Source organism: Homo sapiens, chromosome 7 (assembly GCF_000001405.40).
Source record: "Homo sapiens chromosome 7, GRCh38.p14 Primary Assembly".
NCBI classification, from domain to species: domain Eukaryota; kingdom Metazoa; phylum Chordata; class Mammalia; order Primates; family Hominidae; genus Homo; species Homo sapiens.
In genome coordinates this window covers 76,593,351-76,608,183 of record NC_000007.14, presented here as the reverse complement: position 1 = coordinate 76,608,183, position 14,833 = coordinate 76,593,351, and the positions used below count along the sequence as shown (strand labels likewise).

General features: G+C 41.3%; 1 long non-coding RNA gene across 1 annotated transcript in view, besides 2 other annotated features; it reads right to left on the bottom strand.

The window, feature by feature from the left end:
* The window catches only part of LINC03009 (long intergenic non-protein coding RNA 3009), a 78,642-nt gene that overhangs the window by 19,799 nt on the left and 44,010 nt on the right, over positions 1-14,833 (bottom strand). The gene's annotated exons all lie outside the window — the stretch shown is intronic.
* Positions 1,519-2,019: an enhancer, noted in NCBI's record as "H3K27ac hESC enhancer chr7:76235482-76235982 (GRCh37/hg19 assembly coordinates)". NCBI's record gives its function as "activates a minimal SCP1, AML or CMV promoter by ChIP-STARR-seq in naive H9 embryonic stem cells {active_cell/tissue: H9 hESC(naive)}" and the evidence as "EXISTENCE:reporter gene assay evidence [ECO:0000049][PMID:30033119]".
* Positions 2,020-2,521: an enhancer, noted in NCBI's record as "H3K27ac hESC enhancer chr7:76234980-76235481 (GRCh37/hg19 assembly coordinates)". NCBI's record gives its function as "activates a minimal SCP1, AML or CMV promoter by ChIP-STARR-seq in naive H9 embryonic stem cells {active_cell/tissue: H9 hESC(naive)}" and the evidence as "EXISTENCE:reporter gene assay evidence [ECO:0000049][PMID:30033119]".

The window sequence follows — 14,833 nt, the reverse complement described above, 5'->3', positions numbered from 1 at the left end:
GAGGTTTCAGGGGGCTGAGATCACGCCACTGTACTCCAGCCTGGGCAACAGCAAGACTCCATCTCAAAAAAAAAAAAAAAAAAAAAAAAAAAAAACCTAGGTGATTTGAGTGGTTAAGGGCACTGAGCCAGGGACTTGTGGCACGAAGGGATTGTTCCGGGTGAGCCGCTTGCGGCCTAAGCAGGTTGTGGTGTGATCTGTAGGGGAGTAACAGGCTGGGGTTCAAAAAACGCCAGATACAGTGGTTCAGGCCTGTAATGCCAGCACTTTGGGAGACCGAAGTGGGAAGATGGCTTGAGCCTAGGAGCTCAAGACCAGCCTGAGCAACGTGGTGAGACCCCATCTCTACAAAATATAAAAATTAGCCGAGCACAGTGGTACGTGCCTGTAGTCCCAACTGCTTGGGAAGCTGAGGCTGGAGGATCACTTGAGCCCAGGAATTCAAGGCTGCAGTGAGCTGTACTCACTGCTCAGGTCCCAGCCTTGCTGCCTCCTGCTGCGCTCTAGCCAGAGTGACAGAGCAAGACCCTCTCAAAAAACAAAATTGCCTAGGGGTTGCAGAGGTAGGCTTCCTGGAGGCGGTGATCCAGAAGCAAATCCTCAACCATGGGGAGGTGGATGTGGTGGCTCACACCTGTAATCTTAGCATTTTGGGAGGCCAAGGCGAGTGGATCACTTGAGACCAGGAGTTCAAGACCAGCCTGGCCAACATAGCAAAACCCCATCTCTACTAAAAATATAAAAATTAGTCAGGTGTGTGGTGGGTGCCTGTAGTCCCAGCCACTGGGGAAGCTGAGGCAGGAGAATCACTTGAACCCAGGAGATGGAGGTTGCAGTGAGCCAAGAGCGTGCCACTGCATTCCAGCCTGGGTGTTGGAGTGAGAATATCTCAAAAAAAAAGAGGGGAGAGAAATGGGAGAATCTGTGCCCTGGGGGCATGGAAGGCCTTAGTGCCTAGTAAAGAGTGGGGCTTGGCCTGGAGAGGGAGGCCTCATGGGCCAGATAAGGGAGATACTGGCCCATCTAAGCATGCGTGTGCCGGTAGACTTTCCCTGTCAAGATGATCAACTGGAATGGCAAGAGAATGCGGCCTGCAGGCTGGGAGACATCCTTGAAGCCATATCCCCAGGCCCTAGTCCCATCTGCCACTCTTTTTTTTTTTTGAAACGAGGTCTTGCTATGTTGCCCAGGCTGGACTCCAACTCCTGGGCTCAAGCATTCCTCCTGCCTCAGCCTCCCAAGCAGCCACAAACCACACCTGGCTTCTTCCTGCCACTTCTAGCTTAGCAGGTAACTTCATCTGTAAAAAGTGGATGACGTGATTTCTTGGGGGAATGAGTAGAGCGCTTGGTAGAATCATGGCTCATGCAAGAGGTCTCTGAGCCGGGCATGGTGGCTCATGTCTGTAATCCCAGCACTTTGGGAGGCTGAGGTGGGCAGATCACGAGGTCAGGAGTTCGAGACCAGCCTGGCCAACATAGTGAAACCCCATCTGTACTAAAAATACAAAAATTAGCCAGGCGTGGTGGCACGTGCCTGTAGTCCCAGCTACTTGGGAGGCTGAGGCAGGAGAATCGCTTGAACCCGGGAGGCGGAGGTTGCAGCGAACCAAGATTGCACCACCCCGGGCAACAGTGCGAGACTCCGTTTCAAAAAAAAAAAAAAAAAAAGGTCTCTGGCAAAATGCTCCAGGCTTGGGGTCCGACGGGTACTTCTACCCCTGACAATCTGTTTACTTATCACCATCCTCTTTTCAGATGGGGAAGTTCTTTCCATCAGGATTATAGCAAGGATTGGTCTCCATGGCACACTTGGCATCCAAGCACGTGTTGTTGGAGCTGCTCTATGAGCCAGGAGACACCGGGGAACGGTTCTTGCAATAAACATCCGTCTCTTCCTTGTACTCAAGTTCTTAGGGGTTGCAACTTTCTGAGAGCTTGTCCTTCATTCAACTTCTTTTCTCAGCAGAAAGAGGAAGTGGCTGTGTCAGGGGAGGGGAGGAGTTATGACTAAGATGTGGCCGTGAATGTCAGCTCCCTGCCAGCTCCAGATGGGCCTCAGCAGGATAGTTTCCCTGGGCCTTTGCCAGGAGAGACAGCCTCCAGCAGCAATGTCAGAGGGCTCGGCCTGTCTGCCTCCCAGGGGAACTAGACTGGAAATGAAAGGCAGTGGCAAGCCACTGAGGGTTCTCTAGACTCCATTGCTTAATCCTCCTCTTTCCCTAAAGTTTCCAGAAGCTTCCTATTGCATTGGAAAGCCTCTGTAAACCAACACTTTGGGTGTGGGTTTATTTTTTGAGATGGGGTCTCACTCTGTTGCCCAGGCTGGATTGCAGTGGCACCACCATAACTCACTGCAACCTCGACTTCTCTGGTTCAAACCATCCTCCCACCTCAGCCTCCCAAGTAGCTGGGATTACAGGGGCATGCCACCATGCCCAGCTAATTTTATTTTATTTTTTTAGTACAGACGGGGTTTCACCATGTTGGCCAGGCTGGTCTTGAACTCCTGACCTCAAGTGCTCCTCCTGCCTCGGCCTACCAAAATGTTGGGATTACAGGCATGAGCCACCGCGCCCAGCCAGTTCTCATTCTTCACTGGAGATTGTAGCCAGACATTAGAGAAAACTGGAAGAATCTAGAATCTAATCCAGTCTACAGGTAGATAAATAACTCAAACAATGAACATTACTATAATAACAGGTAAACTATCGTTTTTCTATTGAAATATAATTTTTCTCCCTATAGTCACCTTGAACTCTTGACCTCGTGATTCGCCCCCCTCGGCCTCCCAAAGTGCTGGGATTACAGGCATGAGCCACCGTGCCTGGCCCTCCTTTATTTTATTTATTTATTTTTTTTGGAGACAGAATCTCACTGTCACCCAGGCTGGAATGCAGTGGTGCAATCTCGGCTCACAGCAACTTCCACCTCCCGGGTTCAAGCGATTCTCCTGCCTCAGCCTCCCAAGTAGCTGGGATTCCAGGCACATGCCACCACGCCTGGCTAATTTTTGTATTTTTAGTAGAGACGGCGTTTTGCCATGTTGGCCAGGCTGGTCTCAAACTCCTGATCTCAAGTGATCCGCCTGCCTCGGCCTCCCGGAGTTCTGGGATTACAGGTGTGAGCCACTGTGCCTGGCCAGAGAACAGATTCTTTTTGAATCTATGCAAATAACCATGTTGCTGTAAACATAAGAATAATCGTTATGCAGCCAACAGACACATGAAAAAATGCTCACATCATCACTGGCCATCAGAGAAATGCAAATCAAAACCACAATGAGATACCATCTCACACCAGTTAGAATGGCGATCATTAAAAAGTCAGGAAACAACAGGTGCTGGAGAGGATGTGGAGAACGAGGAACACTTTTACACTGTTGGTGGGACTGTAAACTAGTTCAACCATTGTGGAAGTCAGTGTGGCAATTCCTCAGGGATCTAGAACTAGAATTACCATTTGACCCAGCCATCCCATTACTGGGTATATACCCAAAGGATTATAAATCATGCTGCTGTAAAGACACATGCACACGTATGTTTATTGCGGCACTATTCACAATAGCAAAGACTTGGAACCAACCCACATGTCCAACAATGATAGACTGGATTAAGAAAATGTGGCACATATACATCATGGAATACTATGCAGCCATAAAAAAGGATGAGTTCATGTCCTTTGTAGGGACATGGATGAAACTGGAAACCATCGTTCTCGGCAAACTATCGCAAGGACAAAAAACCAAACACCACATGTTCTCACTTACAGGTGGGAATTGAACAATGAGAACACTTGGACACAGGAAGGGGAACATCACACACCAGGGCCTGTTGTGGGGTGGGGGGAGGGGGGAGGGAAAGCATTAGGAGATATACCTAATGTAAATGATGAGTTAATGGGTGCAGCACACCAACATGGCACATGTATACATATGTAACAAACCTGCACGTTGTGCACATGTACCCTAGAACTTAAAGTATAATAATAAAAAAAAAATCATAAATTGCTTCTAAATTCTGGAGGGTTCAGGTAGAGAGGAAAAGCAAATGTTTTCATTTTTGTTTTCAAAAGTACCAAATTACTATAAATTATACAAAGCTTAAAAGAAAAAAGTTTCCTTAAATCTGGAAAACAATATTAAAAGAACCCACAATGTTTGACATAAAGCAGCCTTAAAAATCCATAATTCAGCTGGGTCTAGTGGCTTGCACCTGTAATCACAGCATTTTGGGAGGCTGAGGTGGGAGGATCGATTGAGCTAAGGAATTCAAGGCTGCTGTGAGCCATGATCACACCACTGCACTTCAGCCTGGGTGACGGAGCCAAGACCCTGCCATAAAAAAAAAAAAAAAAAGATTCAGGCCTGGTTTGGTGGCTCACACCTGTAATCCCAGCACTTTGGGAGGCCGAGGCAGGCAGATCACCTGAGGTCGGGAGTTCGAGACCAGCCTGACCAACATGTAGAAACCCTGTCTCTACTGAAAATATAAAATTAGCCATGCGTGGTGGCACATGTCTGTAATCCCAGCTACTAGGGAGGCTGAGGCAGGAGAATTGCTTGAACCTGGGAGGCAGAGGTTGCAGTGAGCCAAGATCTCGCCATTGCACTCCAACCTGGGCAACAAGAATGAAACTCTGTCTCAAAAAAAAAAAAAAAAAAAAAAAAAAAAAAAAAGAACCGGGCATGGTGGCAGGCACCTGTAATCCCAGCTACTTGGGAGGCTGAGGCAAAGGAATCTCTTGAACCTGGCAGGCAGAGGTTGTAGTGAGCCGAGATCACGCCATTGCACTCCAGCCTGGGCGACAGAGTGAGGTTCTATCTCAAAAAAAAAAAAAAAAAAAGATTAATAATTATTTTTCATCAGTTCATTCAGTCTTGTCATTAATTCTTGCTGTGATCTGTATTAGCAATTTCACAAACCCATCAGTTTCTTCATTCGAGTTTTGGAATTTTTTTTTTTTTTTTTTTTTTTGACAGAGTTTCACTCTTGTTGCCCAGGCTGGAGTGCAACGACAGAATCTCAGCTCACTGCAACCTCCGCCTCCCGGGTTTAAGCGATTCTCCTGCCTCAGACTCCTGAGTAGCTGGGATTACAGGCATATGCTACCACGCCCAGCTAATTTTTTTGTGTGTGTGTGTTTTTTTTTAGTAGAGACGGGTTTTCTCCATGTTGGTCAGGCTGGTCTCGAACTCCCGACCTCAGGTGATCCGCCCACCTCGGCCTCCCAGAGTGCTGGAATTACAGGCTTGAGCCACTGTGCCTGGCCGAGTTTTGGAAATTTAGTTCAATAGTGTGAACTCAAAGTTATTAGAAACCCGTACTTGTCAGACTTCATTCTTTCCATGAAGCTCCTTGAAGACATAATTCTCTGGGATTATAATTGCCTGCAAGAAGCTTTCAGAAAGACATTAGACTAAAGCAATTAAGTGTGGACATGAAGACTTCAAGTGACCATGGCCAAAACCTGGTCTGAGTCCATGGTAATGACGACATAATTGACAAGAATGTTATTTCTGAACCAAAATTGACTGATACCATTTATACCAAGACACATCAGATTTTTAAATATGTTATACGATTTTTCAGTATATTAATAACATATCCATATAAATATACCTCAAGGTGAAATATTTCTTATTTTGCCAATCCTTCTAATTTATTTTATGTATTTCTTTTTTTTTTTTTTTTTGAGACAGAGTCTCGCTCTGTCACCCAGGCTGGAGTACAGTGGCGCAATCTCGGCTCACTGCAAGCTCCGCCTCCCAGGTTCATGCCATTCTCCTGCCTCAGCCTCCAGAGTAGCTGGGACTACAGGCGCCTGCCACCACGCCCAGCTAATTTTTTGTATTTTTAGTAGAGATGGGGTTTTAATTTGAGTTAAATTAATAGAGCCAATGAAGATAAATTACAGAAACAACCAAATGTCATTCAAAGTAGAAGTCATGTTTTCAAGAAACAAAGAAGAAAGGATGCTTTATTTTGCTCAATGGGTATAACAGAATGTTTCTAAAGGTAAGGTTGAACCAGAGCATTTAAAAGATCTGGCCCCTGCACACCTTTTAATTCCCACTTTTATCCATTTCCACCAAGACACTTCTTACTCCAGCTTTTTTGGACTTGTTTCCATGTTTATTCATACTAACTCTCTCTTTACCACAGGGCTTCCTTTGCATAAAGTATTTAATCTGTCTAGGAGATTATTGCTCTTCTACCATTTACCTTAACCCATAGTCTTTGTGAAGACAAATGAGATTATACACCTAATGGACTTAGAACAGTGTTTGGCAAATAGGAAGAGCTCAGTAAATGTTCAATACTACTAAGTAATAATAATAAAATTGTAATAAATTTATTTTAATGTCAGGATCATATATACCCTCAATGGTTATATGTTTCGAAATGCCTAAGAAGAGTTGGTGGAGGAGGCAGCACTGGAAGCAGGCACATTGATAGAAAGAAACTACATTTTTAAAAGTAAGTTAAAAAGCAGTTATAAATAAGAAAAGCATAGCTGTTACAATCTGTAGCATAGATTCCCTGTAACAGGCTTTAAAGGCATGGTTATATCACACCACAGTGTTATGACTGATAATTATTTCAGAAATTCAAATTATCTGAACTTCTAGTTCAGGAGGCCAGAATATGAATAACCCAATTAAGAAATGCTTTCCTCCCAATCATGAAAATAAAAACAAAAACTTTTTAGCAATAATGAATATTAATTTCAGTTACCTGGGAAATTGTCTTTATGTGACTTTCATCATTACTCTAAAATGGAAAAATATACTCCATTTTTTATTATCTAGCTTATTGACTAATATACAGCCTAAAGCAATATCTACTCCAAGCCCATAAAGACCTCAGTTGAACAGACTGAATTAAAAAGAATTTGACCTGCTATCTAAAGTTTTCCAAACCTTGAAATTACATATATGTCATTAAAATAAATTAATATGGGAAAACTAATAACACTGATTTAAAATATAAAAAATAATAAAGAATATTAAAATTACTATTCATAATTTTTAGAGCATAGGAATGAAAACAGATTGTCACATAATGTCTTTAAGCAGCAACATTTTGCACTGCTTCAGCAAATACAAAATGTGGAAAACATCTCAGATAGGAAAATAAGTTATGCTTGATTAGAGTACTTCTCTAGCTTTGATTTATCAGTTGCGTAATTGATTGATTAATTGGATGTTTTACTTTAGTTTTGGAACTCTGGGAAGCAGGCAAGGTTGTGTTTGGAATGCAAAGGTACAACTTTTCAAGAATGAAACACATTGCCCTGCTAGTAGTTTGGTCAACACAGCATTCAAAAATTCAGTTCAGCAAACATTTGAAATTAATGCAATATTTGTTCACTTCATTAGCAAATGTACAAGTCCTTGCGAGTACAAGATCTTGTGCTAGGTGTTGAGGGTTCAGTATTGATAAAACACTGTCTACTCTTACTGGAATTACAATTTTAGGCAAGCACCCCAAATTATGCCATAATGAAATCAATGGATAGGAAGGCGGTGGGAGGGCTTTAGGAACACAGTTCGGAAGGAGCTATTAATTTTTCCGGGTAGAACCAGGAGTGTTTTAAGAAGAGCTGAAATTTGCACAAGGTCTTTGGTAAAATTTTGCCAGGTAAGGTGCAGAAGTGTAATTCAGGCACAGAAGATAACAAGAGAAAAACTTGGAAGCAAAAAAAACCCAACAAAAATCCCCCCAACAAAATACAGTTGTTCGTGTGATTCAATATAATTTCTTAAAAATAGTTTAGTGTGACAAAATATACAGTGCTGGAGTAGAAAAAAGAAGGATAGTTGAGACCAGATTTTAAGGGCATTGTATGACTTGATGAATGTGGCAGACAGACTCTAAGATGACCTTGTGATATTCATGGCTGATGCAATCCCCTACCATTGAGTGTGGGCAGAGTCTGGGGCTTGTTCTAACCCACAGAATGTGGCAAAGGTGATGTGATTGCATTGCCTAAGATTGTAAACTCCATCTTATAAGGAGACTCTTTCCCTTGCTGGCTTTGACAAAGTAAGCGTCCACATTGGGAAGATTCATGGAACAAGGAATTGAGGCAGTCTTAGGTCAACAGCCAGCCAGGAACTCAGAACAGCTTCTGGCCAACAGCTCACAGGAGCTGAAAGATACTAACAGCCACATGAGCTTGGAAATGGATTTTTCCCCGGTTAAACTTCAGAGCTTGAAACAGCAGCACCAGCCTATACCTTGACTGTAAACCTTGTGAAACTCTGAATCAGAGTAGACAGCCAAACCATCCCTGGACTCCTGAGCCACAGAAACTGACATCATAAATACTGACATCATAAAAAATAAGACAATAAATTTGTTACAATATTGTTATATAACCATAGCTAGCTAATACAATGGAGAATTTGGAGCTTATCTTAAAATCAATGGCAAGCCAGCTGCTAAATATTGTCAAGCAAGAAAGTGGCTTGACATCTTTCCTTTAGGAAAGAAAATCTAGGGCTGGGCGCGGTGGCTCACGCCTGTAATCCCAGCACTTTAGGAGGCCAAGGCGGGTGGATCACGAGGTCAGGAGATCGAGACAATCTTGGTTAACACGGTGAAACCCCGTCTCTACTAAAAATACAAAAAAATTAGCCAGGCTTGGCGGCAGGCGCCTGTAGTCCTGGGAGAGGCTGAGGCAGGAGAATGGCATGAACCCAAGAGGCGGAGCTTGCAGTGAGCCAAGATCGCGCCACTGCACTCCAGCCTGGGTGACAGCAAGACTCCATCTCAAAAAAAAAAAAGAAAAAAAAAAAAAAAAGATCTAGGAAGCAATGTGGAGAATAAATAGGATGGGGGAAAATGAAATGCACAAAATACAGCTTGGAGATTATTGCAACAGTCTGAGTGAGAGGTAAAAAAGAAAACTAAACTGGTAATACAAAAAATGAAAAGAAAATATTTATTTTTAAGTTATATTTTAGGTTCAGGGATACATGTGTAGGTTTGCTATATAGGTAAATTGCATGTCACAGGGTTTTGTTGTACAGATTATTTCATCACTCAGGAAATAAGCACAGGCCCTATTAGGTAGCTTTTCAATCCTCTCCCTCCCCTATCCTTCAGCCTAGTAGTCCCTGGTATCTGTTGTTCCCCTCTTTGTACCCATGTAGTGTCATTGTTTAGCTTTCATTTGTGAGTGAGAACATGCAATATTTGCTATTATGAAAATAGTGTGTGATGAACATTTGCATTCATGTGTCTTTATGACAGAATGATTTATATTCCTTTGGGTATATACACAATAATGGGATTGCTGGGTCAAATGGTAATTCTGTTTTAAGTTATTTGAGAAGTCATCACACTGTGTTCCTCAGTGGCTGAACTAATTTACATTCCCACCAGCAGTGTATAAGCATTCCCCATTCTCTGCAACTCCACTAGCATCTGCTGTTTTTTGCCTTTTTAATAATAGCTATTCTGACTGGCATGAGATGGTATCTCATTGTGGTTTTGATTTCTCTAATTATTAGTGATGTTGAGCTTGTTTCCATATGCTTATTGGCCACATGTATGTCTTCTTTTGAAAAGTGTCTGTTCAGGTTTTTAGCCCACTTTTCAATGGGGTTGTTTTTTGCTTGTTAATTTAAGTTCCTTATAGATTCTGGATATTAGAATCTATGAAGAACCTATCTTCATCAAATCATAATTTGCAAATATTTTCTCCCCTTGTGGAAGTTGTCTGTTTACTCTGTTGATAGTTTCTTTTGCTGTGCGGAAGCTCTTTACTTTAATTGGGTCCCGTTTGTCAATTTTTGTTTTTGTTGCCATTGCTGTTGGCATCTTTGGGAAGAAAATTTTCCCAGGACCTATGTCCAGAATGGTAATTTGTAGGTTACCTTCTAAGGTCTTTAGTTTTAGGTTTTACATTTAGGTCTTTAATCCATCTTGAATTGATTTTTGTATATGGTGTCAGGGAGGGGTTTAGTTTCAGTCTTCTGCATATATCTAGCAGGTTATCCCAGCACCATTTATGGAATAGGGAGTCCTGCTCCCATCGCTTGTTTTTTGTTAACTTTGTCAAAAATTGGGTGGTTGTAGCTGTCTGGCATTATTTCTGGGCTCTCTATTCTGTTCAGTTGGTGTATGTGTCTGTTTTTGTACCAGTACCATGCTGTTTTGATTACTGTGGCCTTGTGGTATGGTTTGAAGTCAGGTAATGTGATGCCTCCAGCTTTTCTATTTTTGCTTAGGATCACCTTGGATATTTGAGCTCTTTTATGTTTCCATATGAATTTTGAAACAGTTTTTTATAATTCTGTGAAGAATGTAATTGGTGTTTTAAGAGGAATAGCATTCAATCTAAATTGCTGTGGGTACTATGGCCATTTTAACAATTTTGATTCTTCCTATTCATGAGCATGGAATGTTTTTACATTTGTTTGTGTCATCTCTGATTTCTTTTGAGCAACGTTTTGTAGTTCTTGTAGAGATGTTTATGTTTCACCTCTGTCATTAACTGTATTCCTAGGTATTTTATTCCTTTTTTGGCTATTGTGAATAGGATTGTGTTCTTGATTTGGATCTTAGCTTGAACGTTATTGGTGTATAGAAATGCTACTAATTTTTGTACACTGATTTTGTATCTTCAAACTTTGATGAAGTTTTTTATTGGATCTAGGAGCTGCTAGGCAGAAACTATGGGGTTTTCTAGGTATAGAAACAGATTGCAGATAGAGATAGTGTGACTTCCTCTTTTCCTGTTTGGGTACCTTTTATTTCTTTCTCTTGCCTGACTGTTCTGGCTAGGATGTCCAGTACTATGTTGAATAGGAGTGCTGAGAGTGGTCACCCTTGTCTTGTTCTGTTTCTCAAGGGCAATGCTTCCAGCATTTGCCCATTCAGTATGATGTTGGCTGTGGGTTTGTCATAGATGGCTCTTGTTATTTTGATGTATGTTTCTTCAATGCCTTGCTTGTTGAGGATTTTTAACATGAAAGGATGCTGAATTTTATTGAAAGCCATTTCTGCATCTGTTGAGATGTTCATGTGGTTTATTTTAGTTCTGTTTAGGAGATGAATCATATTTATTGGTTTTGTATACGTTGAACTAATCTTGCATCCCAGGAATAAAGCCTACCTGATTGCTGTGGATTAGCTTTTTGATGTTCTGCTGGATTTGATTTGCTAGTATTTTTGTTGAGGATTTTAGCATCTATGTTCATCAGGGATATTGGCCCAACATTTTCTTTTTTTGTTGCATCTCAGCCAGATTTTAGTATTAGGATGATGCTGGCCTCATACAATGCGTTAGGGAGAGTCCCTCCTCCTCAACTTTTTGGAGTAGTTTTAGTAGAAGTGGTACTAGCTCTACTTTATACATTTGGTAGAATTAGGCTGTGGATCCATCTGGTCCTTGTATTTTTCTAATTGATAGGCTTTTCATAACTGATTCAATTTTGGAACTCATTATTGATCTGTTTAGGGATTCAGTTTCTTCCTTGTTCAACCTTGGGAGCTTATGTTTCTAGGAATTTATCCATTTCTTCTAAGTTTTCTACTTTGTGTGCATAGGTATTTGTAGTTGTCTCTGAGGGTATTTTGTATTTTTGTGGGGTCAGTGGTAATGTCTTCGTTGTCTTTTCTAATTGCGTCTATTTGGGTCCTCCCTATTTTTTTCTTTATTAGTCTAGCTAAGAGTTTATCAATCTTTTTATTCTTTAAAAAAATTAAAATTTGGATTTATCTTTTTTGCTCTTCATCTCTCAATTTCCTTCAGTTCAGCTCTGATTTTGGTTATTTCTTGTCTTCTGCTAGCTTTGGCGTTGGTTTGCTCTTGTTTTTCTAATTTTTCCAGGTGTGACCTTAGGTTATGAATTAGAGATCCTTTTAACTTTTTGATGTGGGCATCACTATAAAATTCCCTCTTACCACTGCTTTAGCTGTGTCCCAGAGATTCTGGTATCTCTGGGATACTAGAGTTTAGTTTCAAAGAATTACTTGATGTTTGCCTTAATTTCATGGTTCACCCAAAAGTCATTCAGGAGCAGGTTGTTTAATTCCAAGTAATTGCATAGTTGTAAGCAATTTTCTTAGTGTTGATTGTTTATTGCACTGTAGTCTAAGAGTATGTTTGGTATGATTTCAGTTTTTTTTGATTTGCTGAGGGTTGTTTTGTGGCCAATCATGTGGTTGACTTTAGAGTATGTGCTATGTGCAGATGAGAATAATTTATATTCTGTTATTTTTGGATGCAGAGTTCTGTAGATATCTATTAGGCCCATTTAGTCAAGTGTTGAGTTCAAGTCCTGAATGTTTTTGTTAGTTGTATGTCTCAATGATCTGCCTAATACTGTCAGTGTCATGTTGTAGTATCCCACTATTATTGTGTGGTTATCTACATCTTTTTGTAGGTGTTTCAGAACTTGCTTTATGCATCTGGGTACTCCTACATTGGGTGGGTATATATTTACAATAGTTAGGTCTTCTCATTGAATTGAACTCTTTATTATTATGCAATGCCCTTCTGTGTCTGTTTTGATGATCACTGGTTTAAAGTCTGTTTTGTTGGAAATAAGAATAGGAGTCCCTGCTTTTTTCTGTTTTGTGTTTGCTTGGTAGATTTTTCTTCATCCCTTTACTTTGAGTCTATGGGTGTCACTATTTGTGGGATGGGTTTCTTGAAGACAGCATACATTTGAGTCTTGCAGTCTAGCTTCTTTATCTAACTTGCCAATCTGTGCCTTTTGACTGGGGCACATAGCCCATTACTTTCAAGGTTAATATTCACGGGGGGGTGGGGGAAGGGAATTGGATCCTATCTTTGTGTTGTTAGCTGGTTATTATGCAGACTTTATTATGTGGTTGTTTTATAGTGTCCATAACCTATGTACTTAAGTTTGTTTTTGTGGTGGCTGGTAATGGTCTTTGCTTTCCATGTTTAGAACTCCCTCAAGTACGTTTTGTAAGGCAGGTCTGGTTGTAACAGGTTCCCTTAATATTTCCTTGTCTGAAAAGGGTCTTATTTCTCCTTTGCTTATAAAGCTTAGTTTGGCTGGGTAGGAAATTATTGGTTGGAGTTTCTTTTCTTTAAAAATGCAGAATATAGGCCCCCAATCTATTTCAGATTGGAGTGTTTCTGCTGAAACAGTCACTGTTAATCTGATGAGTTTCCCTTTGTAGGTGACCTGTCCTTTCTTTCTAGCTGCCTTTAATATATTTTCTTTCATGTCAACCTTGAAGAATCTGAAAATTATGAGTCTTTGGGATGGTCATCTGATATAGTATCTTGCAGGGGTTATTTGCATCTCTTGAATTTGAATGTCGGCTTCTCTTGTGAAGCTGAAAAAGTTTTGGTGAATGATATTCTGAAATATGATTTCCAAGTTGCCTGCTTTCTCCCCTCTCTTTCAGGGATGCCAATGAGTTGAAAATGTGTTCTCTTTATATAACCTCATATCTCTTGAATGTTTTGTTCATTTTTTAATTTTTTCTTTATTTTTGTCTAACTGTATTTTGGAGAACCAGTCTTTGAGCTCTGAGAGTCTTTCCTCAGCTTGGTTAATTCTGCTGTTAATACTTGATATGGTTTGGCTGTGTTCCCACCCAAATCTCATCCTAAATTGTAGTTCCTATAATCTCCATGTATGGTGGGAGTGACCTAGTGGGAAGTAATTGAATCACAGGGCAGTTTCCCCCATGCTATTCTCATGATAGTAAGTTCTCACAAGATCTGATGGTTTTATAAGGGGCTTCTCCCTCATTTGGTTCTCATTCTTCTCCTTCCTGCCACCATGTGAAGTAGGGCATTTGCTTCCCCTTCCACCATAATTGTAGGTTTCCTGAGGCCTTGCGAACCCTGAGGAACTGTGGTCAATTAAACCTCCTTCCTTTATAATTTACCCAGTCTTGAGCAGTTCTTTATAGCAGCATGAGAATGGACTAATACAGTAAATTGGTACTGGTAGAGTGGGGTGCTGCTATAAGGATACCCGAAAATGTGGAAGTGACTTTGGAAATGGGTAACCGGCAGAGGTTGGAACACTGTGGAGGGCTTGGAAGAAAACAGGAAAATGTGGGAAAGTGTGGAGTTTCCTAGAGACTTGCTGAATGGCTTTGACCAAAATGCTGATAGTGATAGGGACAATAAAGTTCAGGCTGAGGTGGTCTCAGATAGAGATGAGGAACTTGTTGGGAACTGGAGCAAAGGTGACTCTTGTCATGATTTAATAAAGAGACTGGTGGCATTTTGCCCCTTCCCCAGAGATCTTTGGAACTTTGAACTTGAGAGAGATGACTTAAGGTATCTAGCAGAAGAAATTTCTAAGTGGCAAAATGTTCAAGAGGGAGCAGGGCATAAAAGTTTGGAAAATTTGCAGCCCAATAACTAAATAGGAAAGAAAAACCATTTTCTGGGGAGAAATTCAAGCTGGTTGCAGAAATTTACACAAGTAATGAGGAGAGAAATATTAATCACCAAGATAATGTGGAAAATATCTCCAGGGCATGTCAGAGACCTTTGTGGCAGCCCCTCCCATGACAGATCCAGAAGTCTAGGAGGAAAAAAATGGCTTTACGGGCCCAGGGTCCCCCCGCTGTGTGCAGCCTAGCAACTTGGTGCCCTGCATTCCAGCTGCTGCAGCCATGGCTAAAAGGGGCCAAGGTATAGCTTGGGCCATGGCTTTAGAGGGTGCAAGCCCCAAGCTTTGGCAGCTTCTACTTGTTGTTGAGCCTTCTGGTACACAGAAGTCAAGAATTGAGATTTGGACCCCAAGACTATGGGAGCCCACCTCTTGCATCAGCATGACCTGAATGTGAGGCATGAAATCAAAGGAGATTATTTTGGGT